This window comes from Homo sapiens, chromosome 17 (genome assembly GCF_000001405.40).
Source record: "Homo sapiens chromosome 17, GRCh38.p14 Primary Assembly".
Classification (NCBI taxonomy): Eukaryota; Metazoa; Chordata; class Mammalia; order Primates; family Hominidae; genus Homo; species Homo sapiens.
The window spans coordinates 38,825,674-38,841,495 of NC_000017.11; the positions used below are offsets into that span (position 1 = coordinate 38,825,674).

At 48.5% G+C, this 15,822-nt stretch overlaps 1 protein-coding gene and 1 non-coding gene across 2 annotated transcripts; one reads left to right on the top strand and one right to left on the bottom strand.

Moving 5' to 3' along the window:
* Window positions 1–164: 164 nt before the first annotated feature.
* Window positions 165–219, top strand: MIR4727 (microRNA 4727). Its single transcript, NR_039880.1, has one exon. It is a non-coding gene; the product is annotated as a microRNA 4727 (primary transcript).
* A 9,193-nt stretch (window positions 220–9,412) lies between these two features.
* SPMAP1 (sperm microtubule associated protein 1) lies at window positions 9,413–15,765 on the bottom strand. The gene is made up of 3 exons (NM_001080465.3): window positions 15,510–15,765; window positions 11,468–11,567; window positions 9,413–9,673 (listed from the first exon to the last, which is right to left on the bottom strand). Exons 1-3 carry the CDS (start codon window positions 15,714–15,716, stop codon window positions 9,516–9,518), a joined length of 465 nt encoding a protein of 154 aa, NP_001073934.1. The 5' UTR covers window positions 15,717–15,765; the 3' UTR covers window positions 9,413–9,515.
* Window positions 15,766–15,822: the final 57 nt, after the last annotated feature.

Consider the following 15,822-nt stretch of genomic DNA (forward strand, 5'->3'; position numbering starts at 1 on the left):
CTGCACACACCCCCACGCTCCAGTTTTCCAAAACGGCTTTGCAAACTGGCGCTTTCCTCAGACCTTGACTCACAGCAAATCCCCTTATGCCAGGCCTATTTTACGAAGCTAAATAGAAACCATCAAATCGAAATTCCATCAGCTTCCGTTTGCCAAACTTTTAAAATCTGCCAGCTTCCACAGTGGCAGATTTTCCCATAGTGGGAAGCTGGCAGATTCCTTTCCCTTCAGTTACTATGTGTTTTTGGCATGTTTTTCTTTTTTCTTTTTCTTTTTCTTCTTCTCCCTTTGTTTTTGTTTTTTGAGAAGGAGTTTTGCTCTCCCAGGCTGCGGTCGAAGCTGACTGCAACCTCCGCCTCCCGGACAGCAATTCTCCTGCCTCAGCCTCCCAAGTCGCTGGGATTACAGGCGCCCGCCACCCGCCCGGCTAATTTTTGTATTTTTTGTAGAGACAGGGTTTCACCATGTTGCTCAGGCTTGTCTCGAATTTCGACCTCAAGTGATCTCCCCGCCTCAGCCTCCCAAAGTGTTGGGATTACAGACATAAGCCACCGCGCCTGGCTATTTTTATTTTTGTAGCAACAGGGTTTTGCCATCTTACCCAGGCTTGTCTCAAACTCCTGGACTCAAGCAATCCTCCTACCTCGGCCTCCTAAAGTGCTGGGATTACAGGTGTGAGCCACTGCGCCCGACCTGTTTTGTAATTTTCAGAATAGAAGTTTTGCACATCTTTTGTTAAATTTATTCTAAATGTTGTATTTTTTGTGATGCTATTTTATTTATTTATTTATTTATTTATTTATTTATTTATTTATTTATTTATTTATTTATTTCGAGACGGAATCTCACTCTGTTGCCCAGGCTGGAGTACAGTGGCGCAATACCAGCTCACTGCAACCTCCGCCTCCTGGGTTCAAGCGATTCTCCTGCCTCAGCCTCCCGAGTAGCTGGGATTACAGGCATACGCCACCACGACCTACTGATTTTTGTGTTTGTAGTAAAGATGGGATTTCACCGTGTTGGCCAGGCTGGTCTGGAACCCCTGACCTCAGGTGATCCGCCTACCTTGGCCTCCCAAAATGCAAGGATTACAGGCACCCGGCCTGTGATGCTATTTTAAATAAAATTTAAAAATTTTAATTTTCCAATTGTTTGCTACTAATAGATAAGAACGTGCTTTTGTATAGTAACCTTCTATTTTACAGGCTTGCTAAATTCACTTATTAGTTCTTATGGCTTTTTAAAAATACTTATTGCCCGGGCGCGGTGGCTCACTCCTGTAATCCCAGCACTTTGGGAGGCCGAGGCAGGTGGGTGGATCACCTGATGTTGGGAGTTTGAGACCAGCCTGGCCAACATGGAAAAACCCCATCCTACTAAAAATACAAAAATTAGCCGGGCGTGGTGGCGGGTGCCTGTAATCCCAGCTACTTGGGAGGCTGACACAAGAGAATCACTTGACCCTAGGAGGTGGAGGTTGCTGTGAGCCAAGATGGCACCACTGCACTATAGCCTGGGCGACAAGAGTGAGACTTTGTCTCAAAAAAAACAGAAAGAAAGAAAGAAACAGGCTGGGCTCGGTGGCTCACGCGTGTAATCCCAGCACTTTTGGGAGGCTGAGGCGGGCAGATCATCTGAGGTTGGGAGTTTGAGACCAGCCTGACCAACATAGAGAAACCCCGTCTCTACTAAAAATACAAAATTAGCCGGGCGTGGTGGCACATGCCTGTAATCCCAGCTACTCTGGAGGCTGAGGCAGGAGAATCACTTGAACCCAGGAGGCAGAGGTTGTGGTGAGCCAAGATAGCGCCATTGCACTCCAGCCTGGGCAACAAGAGCAAAACTCTGTCTCAGAAAAAAAAAAAAAGAAAAGAAACAAACAAAATACCTATTAAATATTTACTTAAATGTATTTGAATAAAGTTTACTTAAAAGAAAAGCAGGCTCACTGCTGTAGTCCCAGCACTTTGGGAGGCCGAGGCAGGTGGATCACTTGAGCCCAGGAGTTGGAGACCAGCCTGGGTAACGTGGTAGAACCCTGTTTCTCAAAAAATACAAAAATTAGCAGGACATAGTGGCATGTGCCTGTAGTCCCAGCTACTCAGGAGGCTGAGGTGAGAGACTGCCTGAGCCCAGGAGGCAGAGGTTGCAGTGATCCAAGATCATACCACTGCACTCCAGCCTGGGCAACAGAGCGAGACCCTGTTTCAAAAAATAAAAGAGGGCCGGGCGCAGTGGCTCACGCCTGTAATCCCAGCACTTTGAGAGGCCAAGACAGGTGGATCACCTGAGGTCAGGAATCCAAGACCAGTCTGGCCAACATGGCGAAACCCCGTCTCTACTAAAAATACAAAAAAATTAGCTGGGCGTAGCAGTGCACGCCTGTAATCCCAGGTACTTAGGAGGCTAGGCAGGAGAATCGTTTGAACCCAGGAGGCAGAGGTTGCAGTGAGCTGAGATTGCACCACTGTACTCCAGCCTGGGTGACAGAGCCAGACTCCACCTCAAACTTAATTAATTAATTAATTTAATTAAATAAAGAAAAGCAAGCAGAGCACAGTGGCTCATGCCTGTAATCCCAGCACTTTGGGAGGCTGAGGTAGGAGGACTGCTTGAGCCCAGGAGTTTGAGACCAGCCTGGGCAACACAATAAGACACTGTCTGACAAAAAAATAAAAGGAAGAAAAAAGGAAAGAAAAGCAATGCTTTGGGAAAGAGTCTGGCAGTTCCTCAAAAGGTTAAACTTAGTTACCATATAACCCAGCATTTCTACTCCTGGGTATATACTCCCAAGAGAAATGAAAGCATACATCAATACAAAATATTGCCCATGAATGGCTTTTTATTTTGTTTTGTTTTGAGACAGAGTCTTGCTCTGTCTTCCAGGCTGGAGTACAGTGCTGTGCTCTTGGCTCACTGCAACCTTCACCCCACTGGTTCAAGCGATTATCGTGCCTCAGCCTCCCAAGTAGCTGGGATTACAGGCGCACACCACCACACCCGGTTAATTTTTTTGTATTTTTAGTAGAGAGGAGGTTTCACCATGTTGGCCAGGCTGGTCTCCAACTCCTGACCTCAAGTGATCTGCCCACCTCGGCTTCCCAAAGTGCTGGGATTATAGGTGTGAGCCACCACACCTGGCCAAAATCTTGTACGTGAATGTTCATAGTAGCCGTTATTCATACCAGTTAAAACATGGGGGAGGCTGGGCATGGTGTTTCATGCCTGTAATCCCAGGACTTTGAGAGGCCAAGATGGCCAGATCATTTGAGGCCAAGAGTTGGAGACCAGCCTGGCCAACATTGCAAAACCCTAAAAATACAAAAATTACTAAAAGTAAAAAATTAGCTGGGTGTGGTGGTGCACATCTGTAATCCCAACTATTCAGGAGGCTGAGAACCCAGGATTTGGAGGCTGCAGTAAGCCAAGATTGTACTACTGCACTCCAACCTGGGCAACAGAGTGAGACTCTGTCTCAAAAATAAAGTAGGGCAGAGAATCAAAACATATCCATTACCTGATGATGATGAATAGATAAAGTATGGTATATCCACACAGTGGAATATTATTTGGCCATAAAAAAAGAAGTACTGGCTACACATGGTGGCTCATGCCTGTAATCCAAGCACTTTGGGAGGCTGAGGCGGGCAGATCACGAGGTCAGGAGATCGAGACCATCCTGGCTAACACAGTGAAACTCCATTTCAACTAAAAATACAAAAAATTAGCTGGGCGTGGTGGCACATGCCTGTAGTCCCAGCTACTTGGGAGGCTGAGGCAGGAGAATCGCTTGAACAGGGGGGCGGAGGTTGCAGCGAGCCAAGATTGCACCACAGCACTCCAGCCTGGGTGACAGAGTGAGACTCCATCTCCAAAAAAAAATAAAAAAGAAGTACTGTTAAGAGCTACAACATAGATAGACTTTGAAAACAGTATGCTAAGTGAAAAAAGCCAGTCACAAAAGACCACATGTATCATTCCATTTATAGGAAATTTCTATAATAGGCAAATCAATAGAGACAGAAAGTAGATTAGTGGTTGCCTAGAGATGGGTAGGTTGGGAGGAAATAGGAAGTTGACTGCCAATGGGTATGGAGTTTCAGTTTGGTGTGATGAAATTGTGCTAAAATTGATTGTATCGATGGGTGAACAACTTTGTGAATATACTAAAAATGATTGAATTGTAGGCTTTTGTTGGCTGAATTGCACGGCATGTAAATTATATCAATAAAGCTATTAAAGAGAATCAGTATTACTTGCCATAAATAGAATGGAAACTAAAAATGACTTTTTTTTTTTTTTTTGAGATGGGGTCTTGCTCTGTCCCCAGGCTGGAGTGCAGTGGCACGATCTCAGCTCACTGCAACCTCTACCTCCCAGGTTCAAGCGATTCCCCTGCCTCAGCCTCCCAAGTAGCTGGGATTACAGGCACGTGCCACCACACCCGGCTAATTTTTTATATTTTTTAGTAGAGATGGGGTTTCACCATGTTGGCCAAGATGGTCTCAATCTCCTGACCTCATGATCCGCCCGCCTCGGCCTCCAAAAGTGCTGGGATTACAGGCGTGAGCCACCGCGCCCGGCCTAAATATGACATTATTAAACACTAACTAGATACATTTTATTTTTCTTGAAATGGGTCTCAATATGTTGGTCAGGGTCTAAATATATTGGTTAAGCTGATCTCGATTCCTAGACTCAAGTGATGCTCCCACTTCAGCCTCCAGAGGAGCTGGGATTACAGGCTGGAGCCACCACTGTGCCTGACAGGAGGAATTCTTATTTGGTGCCAGCTCTCTAACACTTCTAAATCTTCTAAATCCAAAGTGCAAGGATTACAGGTGTGAGCCACCACGCCTAGCCAATCTCCCTCTCTTTTATTCAAAGAGTGTACAGTGCTGGGCATGGTGGCACATACCTATAATCCCAGCTACTTGGAAGGTTGAGGCAGGAGGATCACTTGAGCCCAGGAGTTGGAAGCTACAGTGAGCCGTGATTGTGCCACTGTAGTTCAGCTTGGGTGACAGAGTGAGAGTCCATCTCTTTAAAAAAAATTTTTTAAACGACTTTTTTCTTAAGTTACTGAGGATAGGAAAGGGAATAATTTTTTTAATTCTGTGATTCAGTGTTTTTGTCTATCTCCAGTCAAATTGCAAATGCCTGCAGTACCCATCCCACACTTGGGACAAACAGACACAAGATGTGAAGCTGGGCACGGTGCTCACACTTGTAGTCCCAGCACTTTCAGAGGCTGAGGTGGGAGAATCACTTGAGCCCAAGAGTTGGAGACCAGCCTGAGCAACAAAGCAAGACCTCCTCTCTACTTATGTTAAAAAAAAAAAAAATTAGCCAGGTGTAGTGGCATATGCCTGTAGTCCCAGTTGCTGGGGAGGCTGAGGCAGGAGGATTACTTGAGCCCATGAGTTTCAGGCTGCAGTGAGCCGTGGTCATGCTACTACACTGCAGCCTGGGTGACAGAGCGAGACCCTCTCTCAAAAAAAAAAAAAAAAAAAGATGTAAAGCTGAAGTACACCACCCAGAATGTGACATATGCCCCTTCCATTTAAGCAATAAGCAATTCTTTTTCATCTTATTTTATTTTATTTTATTTTTTTGAGAGGGAGTCTTGCTCTGTCGCCCAGACTGGAGTGCAGTGGCCTGGGTTCACGCCATTCTCCTGCCTCAGCCTCCTGAGTAGCTGGGACTACAGGCATCCACCACCACCACACCCAGCTAATTTTTTGTATTTTTAGTAGAGACGGGGTTTCACCGTGTTAGTCAGGATGGTCTCAATCTCCTGACGTCATGATCCGCCTGCCTCGGCCTCCCAAAGTGCTGGGGTTACAGGCGTGAGCCACCGCGCCTGGCCTCCTTTTCTCTCTTTTTTCCTTCCTTCCTTCTTTCCTTCCTTTTCTTTCTTTCTTTCCTTCCTTCTTTCTCTCTCTTTCTTTTCTTTCCTTCCTTCTTTCCTTCATTTTCTTTCTCTCTTTCTTTCCTTCCTTCCTACTTTCTTTCCTTCTTTTCTTTCTCTCTTTCTTCTTTCTTTCCTTTCTTCCTTCTTTCTTTCTTTTCTTTCTTTCCTTCCATCTTTCTCTCCTTTTCTTTCTTTATCTTTCCTTCCTTCTTTCCTTTTCTTGCTTTCCTTCTTCCTTCCTTTTTTCCTTCTTTTCTTTTTTTTTTCTTTTGAGATGGAGTCTCACTCTGTCACCCAGGCTGGAGTGCAGTGGCGCGATCTCGGCTCACTGCAAGCTCCGCCCCCCGGATTCATGCCATTCTCCTGCCTCAGCCTCCCAAGTAGCTGGGACTACAGGCACCCGCCACCACGCCTGGCTAATTTTTTTGTATTTTTAGTAGAGACGGGGTTTCACCGTGTTAGCCAGGATGGTCTTGATCTCCTGACCTCATGATCAGCCCGCCTTGGCTTCCCAAAGTGTTGGGATTACAGGCGTGAGCCACTGCTTCGGCCTCTTTTTTTTTTTTTTTTTTAGGAGAGAGAGTCTCACTCTTTTTGCCCAGGCTGGTGCAATCTCGGCTCACACAATCTCCACCTCCCAGATTCAAACGATTCTGGTGCCTCGGCCTCCCAAGTAGCTAGAATTACAGGTGCACGGCACCATGCCCGGCTAATTTTTATATTTTTAGTAGAGACGGAGTTTCACCATGTTGGTCAGGCTGGTCTCAAACTCCTGACCTCATGATCCACCCACCTCGGACTCCTGAAGTGCTGGGATTACAGGCGTGAGCCACCGCACCCGGCATTTCTCTCTCTCTCTCTCTTTTCCTTCTCTCTCCTTTCTTCTGTCTTTCCTTCCTTCTTTTCTTTATTTCTCTTTCTATTCTTCCTTCCTTCTTTCTTTCCTTCTTTTCTTTCTTTCTCTTTCTTTCCTTTTCTCTCTTTCTTTCTTTTTTTTTTTCCCAGAGTCTCACTCTGTCGCCCAGGCTGGAGTGCAGTGGTGCGATCTTGGCTCACTGCAAGCTCCGCCTCCCGGGTTCACGCCATTCTCCTGCCTCAGCCTCCCCAGTAGCTGGGACTACAGGCGCCCACCACCATGCCCGGCTAATTTTTTGTATTTTACGTAGAGACAGGGTTTCACCGTGTTAGCCAGGATGGTCTTGATCTCCTGACCTCGTGATCCACCCGCCTTGGCCTCCCAAAGTGCTGGGATTACAGGCGTGAGCCACCGCACCAAGCCTTTTTTTTTTTCTTTCGACAAAGTCTCGCTCTGTCGCCCAGGCTGGAGTGCAATGGCGCGATCTCAGCTCACTGCAACCTCTGCGTCCCAGGTTCAAGCGATTCTCCTGCCTCAGCCTCTCAAGTAGCTGGGATTACAGGCGTGCACCACCACGCCCGGCTAATTTTTTGTATTTTTAGTAGAGACAGGGTTTCACCATATTGGTCATGCTGGTCTTGAACTTTTTTTTTTTTTCTGGACAGAGTCTCACTCTGTTGCCCAGGCTGGAGTGCTATGGTGCGGTCTCGGCTCACTGCAACCACTGCCTCCCGGGTTCAAGTGATTCTCCTGCCTCAGCCTCCCGAGTAGCTGGGATTACAGGTGCGTGCCACCACACCCGGCTAATTTTTTGTATTTTTAGTAGAGACGGGGGTTTCACCATGTTGGCCAGGCTGGTCTCGAACTCCTGACCTCGTGATTCACCCGCCTCGGCTTCCCAAAGCACTGGGATTATAGGCGTCAGCCACCGCGCCTGGCCCTGGCCCTTCTTTCATGTTTTAATTCGAGGCAGCTTTGCATGTACTAAGTTTTCAAAAGTACGTGCATTTTTATCTATACTCTGACACACACCCAATTACCAAATTGTGTTCACAGCTCTGTCAGACTCACTCACAGATTTAGAATCTCCTCAGGGACTTGGTCTTAATTGAAGACAAATGAGGTCCCAGATGGGCTTTTTGTCCTAAAGGTCAGCTGGAATGTGGGAGGAACAATTTCAGCACAAGAGCAAGTTGAAAGTTGCTTCATCTTTTCAGGTGATACTGTGGCTGACAGTATTTACTGTTAAATGGAGTGGAAGTGAGAAAACACCACAGAAGGGGGCACCTAGATTCGAACCGGGGACCTCTTGATCTGCAGTCAAATGCTCTATCCCTGAGCCCTACCCCCTCTACCTGTAATAAGCTTCTTCCGTGTCCACTTACGGTGACTCAATACAATCAAGTTCCACCCACACGAGTTCTGGCAAGCTTTGTGTTCTAAAGCCCCACCTTCTTAATTATCCATCATCTGCTTTGGCTTTTCCCTTGGCCACCAATAAACTGAAAGGGAACACTTGAAAAATGACATCCTGGGCCGGGCAGGTGGCTCACGCCTGTAATCCCAGCACTTTGGGAGGCCGAGGTGAGGTCAGGAGTTCGAGACTAGCCTGACCAACACGGTGAAACCCCGCCTCCACTAAAAATACAAAAAAATTAGCTGGGCATGGTGGCAGGCACCAGTAATCCCAGCTACTAGGGAAGCTGAGGCAGGAGAATTGCTTGAACCCCGGGAGGCAGAGGTTGCAGTGAGCTGAGATCACACTACTGCACTCCAGCCTGGGCTAACAGAGTGAGTCTCTCTCTCCTTCTCTCTCTCTCTCTATATGCATATATATATACATAAACATATATATATATACATAAACATATGTGTATACACACACACACACACACACACACTCACACACAAACATATATATATGTTTAGTAAAGACAGGGTTTCGTCGTGTTGCCCAGGCTGGTCTCAAGTGATCCACCTGCCTGAGCTCAAGCAATCCTCCCATCTCGGCCTCCCAAAGTGCTGGGATTACAGGCGTAAGCCACGGAGCCTGGCCTTTGCTCCGTTCTTTTTTTTTTTTTTTTGAGACGGAGTCTTGCTCTGTTGCCCAGGCTGGAGTGCAGTGGCGCGATCTCGGCTCACTGCAAGCTCCGCCTCCCGAGTTCACGCCATTCTCTCGCCTCAGCCTCCCGAGTAGCTGGGACTACAGGTGCCCGCCACCAAGCCCGGCTAATTTTTTTGTATTTTTAGTAGAGACGGGGTTTTAGTGTTAGCCAGGATGGTCTCAATCTCCTGACCTTGTGATCCACCTGCCTTGGCCTCCCAAAGTGCTGAGATTACAGGCGTGAGCCACAGCGCCCGGCCCTTTGCTCTGTTCTTGATGGAAACAATAGCCAGCTCTGACCTGGGGCCCTGCTGATAGCTGGGGAAGTGCTTTATTGAGGTTGAGTAGTGTGGCTCCTTCTTATCCCACTGGTAGGGGAGAACTGAAGCCCCTCCTTTCAAACCTGGCACTCGTTGGTATGGAGTGCAAGGGCGTAGGCCTGAGAAGCCCTTTCTCCTCTCACCTTCTCTCCAGAGGGAAGAGAAGCTGAGGGTAGAACTGGCTCCATCCTCTAATCTCAGGGAAGAAACAGCACACGTGGAGACACAAATTAATTTTTTTAACGTAAAATAACACTAAGAGTTCATCTAAACATTTGTCTTAGAAATTCAGGTCGATGGCTATGAAGGGAAAAGATGCTGTTAGAACAGAGGGAAGTGGGTGACCTCTCCGAAGACGGACGTGCTCTGACGGAGGGCTGGAGTGTTCCTGCGGTAGCCAAACCTTCCATTGAACCCATCGATCGGTTTCAGATCAGCATTGTAGTGGTCATGCCCAGTCACCTGCTGGAGAGAATGCCCTTGGGGACAAGGAGAGAGAGGCCTGAGCCTGCATTCAGCCCACCTCTTGGCTTCCCCATTCCCCTGGGTGTGGTATGGGATGCCAACCAGGCGTAGTCACTTGCATTCCCCATGCTGAACACGCAATCCACAAGTGTCCTGAGACTCTGGGCTGAAAAGCCAAGGGCTGGTGAGGTTGAGGGGCAGAAGGCTTCCTAGAAATAAAACCCCGCACCAGGAATAATTGCAGGAAAACTGTGAATGGTTTGTGCTGGGACAGGAAGGGCCAGAAATTCTGGGCTTGGCAAAGCTTGCCTTTCTCCCACAAGAAATGAGAAAAATCTCACCCTTGCCTCTGACCCATGTGGAAAAAATGGATGAGATCAAGATCAATTGAGCCAAATGGCACAAAGTATCATGTGACTAGAGGAGTGGCCCAGGATGGTGGAGCCAGGCTGGGAGGAGGGTTTACCCTGTTAGAAAAATATCTCTCAACTCTTTCCCATTGTTGTTAACCTGGGCCTGGAAAATGAGCAGGATGCAGCAGTGAGGGGAACAGGGGCTTCAGAGTTGGGAAGAGCAGAATCTTTTTGTTTGTTTGTTTTTGAGACAGAGTCTTGCACTGTCGCCCAGGCTGGAGTGCAATGGCGCAATCTCGGATCACTGCAACCTCTGCCTCCCGGGTTCAAGAGATTCTCCTGCCTCAGCCTCCTAAGTAGCTGGGATTATAGGTGCCTGCCACCACGCCCGGCTAATTTTTTGTATTTTTAGTAGAGACGGGGTTTCACTATGTTAGCCAGGCTGGTCTCGAACTCCTGACCTCGTGACCCGCCTGCCTCGGCCTCCCAAAGTGCTGGGATTACAGGCATGAGCCACTGCACCAGGCCAGGAAGAGCAGACTATTAATCCCAGCTCAGCCCTCTTGCCAAATTACTTTAACTCAAGAAACTTGTTTTCCTACCTGTGCCATGGGGTTAGTGTGAGGGTGAAAAGTGCCCAACAAATGGCTCATGTCTGTAATGCCAGCACTTTGGGAGGCTGAGGCCAGAGGATCACTTGAGCCTAGGAGTTCAAGACCAGCGTGGGCCACATAGGGAGACTCCATCTCCACAAAAAATAAAAAATTAACTGAGTGTGGTGGTGCACACCTGTGGGCCCAACTGCTCAGGAGGCTGAGGTGGGAGGATTGCGCAAGCCCAGGAGGTCAAGACTGCAGTGAGTAGTAATTGTGCTACTGCATTTCTTTCTTTCTTTCTTTCTTTTTTTTTTTTTTTTTTTTTTTGAGATGGAGTCTCGCTGCATCGCCCAGGCTGGAGTGCAGTGGCACGATCTTGGCACACTGCAACCTCCGCCTCCCGGGTTCAAGCAGTTCTCCTGCCTCAGCCTCCCAAGTAGCTGGGATTCCAGGTGCGAGCCACCACGCCTGGCTAATTGTTTTTTTGTATTTTTAGTAGAGACAGGGTTCAACCAGGTTGGCCAGGCTGGTTTGGAACTCCTGACCTCAAGTGATCCACCCGCCTCAGCTCCCAAAGTGCTGGGATTACAGGCGTGAGCCACTGCACCTGTCCGTGCTACTGCATTTCATGCATTCCAGTTTGGGTGATAGAGTGAGACCACGTCTCAAAAAAAAAAAAAATGAGGTCTGACATACAGTACTGGTGCTTATTAACTAATATTAGGGGGCACTGTGGCACCATCTGCTCATGTATGTGAAGAAAAGCTGGAAGGATGCAGTCCCTTTGCCTCTTCCCCTCAACCAGGCCTTGCTATGGCCCAGGAACCATGATGAGGCTAGAAATGGAGGCAGCACTTGCCTGTCCCTGCCCAATTTCTCCTGTTGAGGTATCTTTGTCCTTGCCCGAAGATGTGGATGTAGTCTACTATCCAGCCATCCCTTCCTGTACCGCCATGATCCTGAAAGTGGGCAAGAGAAAGTGGGCAAGAACACTGTCAGCCACAATGCTGAGGGGGACACAGTGCAAACTGCCCTGGGGTTTGCTGTGGGGATAGGGAAGAGGTCAGAGCCTTAGGTAACTGGTGCAGACAGATTAAATATATTTAAGAACCAGACCGGGTGCAGTGGCTCAGGCCTCTAATCCCAGCACTTTGGAAGGCCAAGGTGGGTGGATCACCTGAGGCCAGGAGTTCGAGACCAGCCTTGCCAACATGGTGAAACCCCATCTTTACCAAAAATACAAAAAATTAGCTGGGCATGATGGCAGGCGCCTGTAATCCCAGCTGCTCAGGAGGCTGAGGCGGTACAATTGCTTGAACCCCGGAGGCAGAAGTTGCAGTGAACCGAGATCCTGCCATTGCACTCCAGCCTGGGCAACAAGAGCCAAACTCCATCTAAAAAAAAAAAAAAAGAAAAAAAGAAAAAGAAAAAGAAGAACCTATTGCCTCTCCGGGAGGGGCAGTTGAGCTTGGCAGCTGAAGGCTCAGTTTCTGCTGCCAGACAGGCTGGGTTCTAACTCCAGCTCAACCATTAACAGGCTTTGTGACCTTGGGCCAATTACACAGCTTCTCTGGGCCTCAGTTTTCCCATCGGTAAAAGGAGTATTGCTGTGAGGTTTGTTTTTTGAGACACAGTCTTACTCTGTCACCCAGACTGGAGTGCAGTGTTGCCATCTCGGCTCACTGCAACCTCCGCTTCCTGGGTTCAATTATCCTGCCTCATCCTCCTGAGTAGCTGAGATTACAGGCACGCGCCACCATGCCCGGCTAATTTTTGTATTTTTAGTAGAGACAGGGTTCACATATTGGCCAGGCTGGTCTCAAACTCTTGAACTCAAGTGATCCACCCGCCTCGGCCTCCCAAAGTGCTGGGATTACAGGATTGAGCCACTGTGCCTGGCTTGCTGTGAGACTTAAGTGATTTTGTTCAGATAAAGGGCCTGGCATAGTAAAGTTTAATAAATGTTATCTTTATTTAAATGAAAATAATACCTACCACAAATGGTGGTTTTGATAATTAAATAATACTTTTAAAAATTAAACAGATTGGCTGGGAGCAGTGTAATCCCAGCACTTTGGGAGGCCAAGGCTGGAGGATCTCCTGAGGTCAAGAGTTGGAGACTAGCCTGGCCAACATGGCTAAACCCGGTGTCTACTAAAAATACAAAAATTAGCCAGGTGTAGTGGCTCATGCCTGTAATCCCAGCTACTCAGGAGGCTGAGGCAAGAGAATTACTTGAACCCAGGAGACAGAGGTTGAAGTGAGCTGAGATCGTGCCACTGCACTCCAGCCTGGGCAATAGGGCGAGACTCCACCTCAAAAATAAAATAAAATAAAATAAAAGATTAGCTGCTGGGCATGGTGGCACACGCCTATAGTCCCAGCTACTCAGGAGGCTGAGACTGGAGGATTGCTTGAGCCCAGCAGTTCAAGGCTGCAGTGAGCTGTGCCACTGCACTTCCAGCCTGTGTGACAGAGTTGCACTCTGTCTCAAAAAAGAAAATTAGAAAGCCTTTTTCAAGGCCGGGTGCGGTGGCCCACGCCTGTAATCCCAGCACTTTGGGAGGCTGAGGCAGGTGGATCACTTGAGGTCAGGAGTTCGAGACCAGCCTGGCCAACATAGTGAAACCCCGTCTCTACTAAAAATACAAAAAACTAACTGGGTGTGGTGGCGGGCGCTTGTAATCTCAGCTATTCAGGAGGCCGAGGCAGGAGAATTGCTTGAACTTGTGAGGCAGAGGTTGCAGTGAGCTGAGATGACGCCACTGCACTCCAGCCTGGATGACAGAGTGAGACTCTGTCTCAAAAAAAAAAAAAAAAAAAAAGGAAAGAAAGAAAGCATTTTCAAAATATGTATACCCTATCATTTTCAACCTTTTAAATACTCAAGTTCTTCCTTTTCCCCTCCCCAGACTCTGGTTCCTTCTGTCGTAAAATTACGAGTCGATGCCAGCATGGTGGCTCATGCCTATAGTCCCAGCACTTTGGGAGGCCGAGATGGGCAGAACACTTGAGCTCAGGAGTTTAAGACCAGCCTGGGCAACATGGTGAAACCCTGTCTCTGTAGTCTCAGCTACTAGAGTGGCTGAAGTGGGAGGATCGCTTGAACACGGAAAGCAGAGGTTGCAGTAAGCCAAAATTATGCCACTGCACTCCAGCCAGGGTGACAGAACAAGACCCTGTCTCAAAAAAAAAAAAAAAGAAAAGAAAAGAAAAGAAAAATTGGGCCGGGCACGGTGGCTCACACCTGTATCCCAGCACTTTTGGAGGCCGAGGCAGGCAGATCACAAGGTCAGGAGTTCGAGAACACCCTGGCTAACACAGTGAAACCCCGTCTCTACTATTTTTTGTAAAAATACAAAAAATTAGACGGGCGGGCGTGGTGGCGGGCACCTGTAGTCCCAGCTACTTGGGAGGCTGAAGCAGGAGAATGGCGTGAACCCAGGAGGCAGAGCTTGCAGTGAGCCGAGATCCTGCCACTGCACTCCAGCCTGGGCGACAGAGCGAGACTCCGTCTCAAAAAAAAATTAAAAAAAAAATTACATGAGTCAACACATGTGTGACTCATGTATGTCCATATACATGCACTGCACAGACCTATGCAAACAAACATTTGGGACTATACACACACACACAAATCCCGAAGATTTGCTCACAGAATAACCCCATGAGTCTTCCTGTCTCTTCCCCACACCGCTTATACGTAGAAACACAAATACTGGAAGCAAAATGTTGGGGGAAAAATTGAACCATCAGCAAACAGTCTCGGAATCTTTGATCTGGGGGGTTGGTGGAGGAGAACTCTGCTGGGAAGGGGCCTACACCTAGGAGGGAAAAGGCCAGGGGGAGGAACTGAGGTCCGCAGAGGTTTGAGAGGTGTCCCTCCCATCAGACCAAAGAACCCGGAGAGCAAGCCCCATGCCCTGCCACTATGATGTCACAGGAGGAAGGCGTCTCGCCCTGCAGGTCAAATCAATTCCCTTTGTCTTGCTCACTGAGGTCACACGGATTTTTGCGTATTTAGAGAATTTGCGGTGTGAGGTCACCCTAGAGGGCGGGTCTGTGACGTCACAAAAGACAAAGACACCGACTGGTTTGGGAGAAGCTGGCTTTGAGCCCTATCCCCTTGCCTTGCAGAAACCTGGAATGAGTCTATTCTCAAATTCAGGGCTGGAAGGCCATTCTGTGAGCTCAGGGAGCTTGCGCTCAACACCTGTCCTCCCTTTCCTCCAGTCCTCGGGCTGCGTTAAGAAAACTGGGAGGCGGTGGCGGGAGGATAGCGTGAGCCCAGGAGTTCAAGACCAGTCTGGGTAACATGGCGAGACCCCCTCTCTACAAAAAAAAAAAAAAAAAAAAAAAAAAAAAAAAAAAAAAATTAGCCCGGCGTGATGGCGCGAGCCTGTAGTCCCGGCTAATCGCGAGGCTGAGGTGGGAAGGTTGCTTGACCCTGGGAGGTGGAAGCTGCAGTGAGCCGTGATGGCACCACCGCACTCCAGCCTGGGCGAGAATCAGACCCTATAATTACAGGCTCACACCTGTAACATGGCGAAACCCCGTCTCTACCAAAAATATAAAAATTAGTCTGGCGTGGTGGCGCGCCTGTAACCCCAGCTACTCGGGAGGCTGAGGCAGGAGAATCGCTTGAACCCGGGAGGCTGAGGCAGGAGAATCGCTTGAACCCGGGAGGCGGAGGTTGCAGTGAGCCAAGATGGTGCCACTCACTACGCTCCAGCCTGGGCGACAGAGCGAGACTTTGTCTCAAAATAATAATAATAAATAAAAATTTAAAAAAGAAAAGAAAGTAAACCGAGGAGGTGAAAGTGGCGGAGCCTTCTTTGTGGTGAGAACGCTGGAGTGAAGATTTAGGGAGGTGTGTGGGGTCTTCCGGGAAGCTCCTATACCTGATCAGTTTTCCGCAAAAGGGGCGGAACCACGTGACTCTGGAAGTAGCTGCGGGCGTGGTAGTCCTGCTGCGCGTTGTAGGGCGGAATCGCCGACCACAGCTTGGGCCTAGAGCGCCCATAAGCGCGGGCAGCGGTGCTCACAGCCACCCCGTCCAAGATAAAGCCTTTCTCCAGTCGCAGGCGACACTCGCTCAGGTACGCCATCCCAACCACCGTAGCCTCGGAGGGCCTTTCTGGTGGGGGATGAGGACCCTAGATGGGGACACCCCTGCGCATTCTTACGTGATGTCAACGACCCCTGCGACACAAA

Bases quoted from the DNA above. Each gene is read 5' to 3' on its own strand.
- SPMAP1 (NM_001080465.3), bottom strand. From the start codon at position 15,716: ATGGCGTACCTGAGCGAGTGTCGCCTGCGACTGGAGAAAGGCTTTATC. The intron at 11,568-15,509 runs GTATAGGAGCTT...GCCCACTTTCAG, and splicing joins TTTTGCGGAAAACTGATCAG to GATCATGGCGGTACAGGAAG. The intron at 9,674-11,467 runs GCAAGTGCTGCC...CTTGTCCCCAAG, and splicing joins GAGAAATTGGGCAGGGACAG to GGCATTCTCTCCAGCAGGTG.